This window comes from Homo sapiens, chromosome 21 (assembly GCF_000001405.40).
Source record: "Homo sapiens chromosome 21, GRCh38.p14 Primary Assembly".
NCBI classification, from domain to species: domain Eukaryota; kingdom Metazoa; phylum Chordata; class Mammalia; order Primates; family Hominidae; genus Homo; species Homo sapiens.
Window position 1 is genome coordinate 37,282,726 of NC_000021.9, and position 4,557 is coordinate 37,287,282.

General features: G+C 51.0%; 1 annotated feature.

Moving 5' to 3' along the window:
* Positions 320 to 1,246: an enhancer, noted in NCBI's record as "H3K4me1 hESC enhancer chr21:38655347-38656273 (GRCh37/hg19 assembly coordinates)". NCBI's record gives its function as "activates a minimal SCP1, AML or CMV promoter by ChIP-STARR-seq in naive H9 embryonic stem cells {active_cell/tissue: H9 hESC(naive)}" and the evidence as "EXISTENCE:reporter gene assay evidence [ECO:0000049][PMID:30033119]".

Sequence of the window (4,557 nt, forward strand, 5' to 3'; positions counted from 1 at the left end):
CGAGCGGGTTGCCACTGCTGGCGCGGGCAGCCTGCTTTTATTCTTATCTGGCCCCACCCACATCCTGCTGATGGGTAGAGCCAAGTGGCCTGTTTTGACAGGGCGCTGACTGGTGCGTGTACAATCCCTGAGCTAGATACAAAGGTTCTCCACGTCCCCATCAGATTAGTTAGATACAGAGTATGGACACAAAGGTTCTTCAAGGCCCCACCAGAGCAGCTAGATACAGAGTGTCGATTGGTGCACTCACAAACCCTGAGCTAGACACAGGGTGCTGATTGGTGTGTTTACAAACCTTGAGCTAGATACAGAGTGCTGATTGGTGTATTTACAATCCCTGAGCTAGACATAAAGATTCTCCACGTCCCCACCAGACTCAGGAGCCTAGCTGGCTTCACCCAGTGGATCCCACACCGGGGCTGCAGCTGGAGCTGCCTGCCAGTCTCGCGCCATGCACTCGCACTCCTCAGGCCTTGGGTGGTCGATAGGACTGGCCGTGGTGGAGCAGGGGGCGGCGCTCGTCGGGGAGGCTCGGGCTGCACAGGAACCCACGGAGGCGGGGTAAGGCTCAGGCATGGCGGGTTGCAGTCCCGAGGCCTGCCCCGCGGGAAGGCAGCTAAGGCCCGGCGAGAAATCGAGCGCAGCACCGGTGGGCTGGCACTGCTGGGGGACCCAGTACACCCTTCACAGCCGCTGGCCCGGGTGCTAAGTCCCTTATTGCCCGGGGCCAGCAGGGCCAGCCAGCTGCTTCCGAGTGCGGGGCCCGCCAAGCCCACGCCCACCCGGAACTCCAGCTGGCCCGCAGGCGCCGCACGCAGCCCCGGTTCCCGCTCGCGTTTCTCCCTCCACACCTCCCTGCAAGCTGAGGGAGTGGGCTCCGGCCTTGGCCAGCCCAGAAAGGGGCTCCCACAGTGCAGCGGTGGGCTGAAGGGCTCCTCAGGTGCTGCCAAAGTGGGAGCCCAGGCAGAGGAGGCACCGAGAGCGAGCGAGGGCGGTGCGGACTTCCAGCACGCTGTCACCTCTCAATGGGACCATCTAGTTTCAGGAAAACAAGCTCAGGGCTCCCACTGATTCTACATTATAGTGAGTTGTGTAATTATTTCATTATATATTATTACAATGTAATAATAATAGAAGTAAAGTGCCCAATAAATGTAATCCACTTGAATCATTCCAAACCCATTCCCCTGCCCTGTCCATGGAAAAAAATGTCTCCCATGAAACCAGTCCCTCGTGCCAAAAAGGTTGGGGACCACTGTTATGGGGTAAAGCTAATAACTCTGCAAAGAATAGGGCAAGCCTTTGTAAAATACATCAACATTCACTTGATTTCCTGCCACTGCAGGAATGCCTAAGAACGTTTCAGGGAGTGGAGCTAACCGTGGTTGAACCATGACAGTGGCCAGGTCCCCACTCTGGCGCCCGTATCAGCTGCAGGAGCCGCAGTGCATAGCGTGTGCGCTGGCCCTGCAGGAAGAAGAGGCAGGCCCATCTAGGCAGCAGACACCATGATGGAGCATGGTGGACTCCTCAGCAACCAGCTCTTGGTGGCTGCCAGGATTCATCAGTTGTGGCTGCACCAAATCTCTTTCTTCCACCACTCCCAACGGCCCGTTATCCTGGGCTTCTGTTTATTGGGATTTCCTGGAATTCCAGGAGTCCCATGTGGCAATAAGATGTCAAGTGATGCCACAGGCCCTTAGGGAAGGTCCTCATTTTGGCTCCAGATCCAGCCAGGCTTACTCCCTGATCCTGACTGAGTGGGCCAAGGCGTGGGCCCTAGGGACGGGTCCTCCAGGTGAGGTATCCTTAGTTCATGTCAGTTATGGTCCCATTGATTTATTTTCTTTCTTTCTTTCTTTCTTTCTTTCTTTTTTTTTTTTTTTTTTTTGAGATGGAGTCTCACTTTGTCACCCAGGCTGGAGTGTAGTGGCGCAATCTCGGCTCACCGAAACCTCTGCCTCCTGGGTTCAAGCGACACCCCTCCGCCACCCACCTCAGCCTCCCGAGTGGCTGGGATTACAGGCGCATGCCACCATGCCTGGCTAGTTTTTGTATTTTTTGTAGAGACGGAGTTTCACCATGTTGGCCAGGCTAGTCTTGAACTCCTGACCTCAGGTGATCTGCCCTCCTCTGCCTCCCAAACTGTTGGGATTACAGGCGTGAGCCACCATGCCCGGCCCCATTGGTTTATTTTCTGTATTATCATGGAGCTCTTCTTGGTTTACCTGAGGTGTTTCGATATTAACCCTAACTGAGGGCAAAATGTTTTATTAGATAGATTGGTGGATAGGTAGATATGTGATACAGCAAACATAGCAAAACATTTATTCTAGAATCTGGTTGGTGCCTGTTCATTGTACATTTTTTCCAGCTCCTATCTACGTTTGAAATTTAAAATAAAAGTTGGGGCTGGAAATTGTGATAGAGGTGCTTATTATACAATTTACAGGGATTTAAAAAAGGTATTTTTCAAGCCGGACATGGTGGCTCACGCCTGTAATCCTAGCACTTAGAAAGGCTGAGGTGGGTGGATCATTTGAGGTCAGGAGTTTGAGACCAGCCTGGCCAATATGGTGAAACCCTTTCTCTACTAAAAAGACAATAAATTATCCGGACGTGGTAGCACACACCTGTAGTTCCAGCTACTTGGGAGGCTGAGGCAGGAAAATCGCTTGAACCCGGGAGGCGGAGGCTGCAGTGAGCCGAGACCACGCCACTGCACTCCAGCCTGGGCAGCAGAGCAAGACTTGGTCTAACAACAACAACAAAAGATATGATACATTTCTTTGGTCAGTCATTGCACATCTATTTGCTGGGTGTCAATTATATATGGTACTGAATCCTGAAGACTCACCAGGGAACAAAACAGGTGCAATCTTCCCCTCATGTAGTTTACAGCCCAGAAGGGAAGAGAGATGACCGAACAAGTAATTCCAGTAGAGTGTGAAGAGTTGCTGTAAGCATCAAAGTGTTGGGGGGAGTTAGTCTCTTACTAGCCCCTCCCAAGACCCTGCACCCCTCCTACTTGTGCACAGAGTCCCAGCCCTGGCCTTCCTAGGGTGTTGACATCACTGCTGCTTGCAGTACACCCTGCACCAGCTAGGCCTTAGCTGGCTCCAGAGTGTGGCAGGGGTGGGTGATTGCAGAGATACTTTCATTCCAACAATGGTCAAGTCTAGTTTTCTCCTTAGTTACTTTAGGGTGCTGTACTGGCTTCCTAGAACTGCTGTAACAAATTATCACAAAATTGGTGGCTTACAGCAATAGAAATTTATACTGTTACAATCCTGGGAACCAGAAGAGTCCAATTTTAAGGTGTTGGCAGGGCCGCTTCCCCCTGGTGTGTCTGCAGGAGAATCCATCCCATGCCTCTGTGCTGGCTTCTGCTGGCTGCCGGCAGCCCTTGGCGTCCTTTAGCTCGTTGATACATCAGTACAATCTCGACTTCGGTTATCACATCTGCTTCTCCTCTGTGTGTCTTCTCCTTTTTCCTCCTCTTCTTTTTTTTTTTTTTTTTTTTTGAGACGGAGTCTCGCACTGTCACCCAGGCTGGAGTACAATGGCACCATCTCGGCTCACTGCAGCCTCTGCCTCCTGGGTTCAAGCGATTCTCCTGCCTTAGCCTCCCGAGTAGCTGGCATTACAGGCGCCCACCAACATGCCCGTCTAATTTTTTGTATTTTTGGTAAAGACGGGGTTTCACTATGTTGGCCAGTCTGGTCTCAAACTCCCGACCTCATGATCTGCCCATCTCGGCCTCCCAAAGTGCTGGGTTTACAAGTGTGAGCCACTGCGCCTGGCTCTTTTTTTCCCTCTTATGAGAACACTTGCCATTGGATTTTGGATCCACCCAGATAATCGAGGATGATCTCATCTCAAAATCCTTAATTACACCTGCAGAGAACTTTTTTCAAATGAGGTCACATGCACAGGTTCTAAGAGGACGTATCTTTTGGGGAGGCCAACACTCAGCCCGCTATGAGTACACCTATCTCATAACTAAGAGACTCATAGAGCACATGGTCTCTCTCCTCTTTTTAACATGTCGTGGGCTTATTTTGTCATAGGATATTTTCCTCTGTCTTGGGTCTGATTTCTTCACTCATTATTTAAAAAATTTCTCTCGGTCTGAACCATGATGAATGAATTCTGAGTGGGTTATTGCCATTCTCCAAAGTTTTCCTCCTGTGCCCAAATTTCTCCTCGATAGTGGTTCATTCCTCTACATACAGAGAGCTATGGAGGTACATGGAAGGTGCTATGGTTTGAATGTGGCCTCTCCAACATTCGAATGTTGGAAACTTAATGCCCAGTGCAACAGTGTTGGGAGGTGGGGCTTGATGGGCCCGATGCTGCTATAACAAGGGCTTTGGGGCATGGGTCTGCTTGCCTCTGCTCTTCTGCCATGTGAGGACATGACGCTTCTCCACTCCAGAGGATGCAGCATTCGAGACCATCTCAGAAGCACAGAGACCAGGCCCCAACCTGCCAGTGCCAGGATCTGGGACTTCCCAGCCTCTAAAACTGTGAGAAATTAATTTCTATTGTTTATTT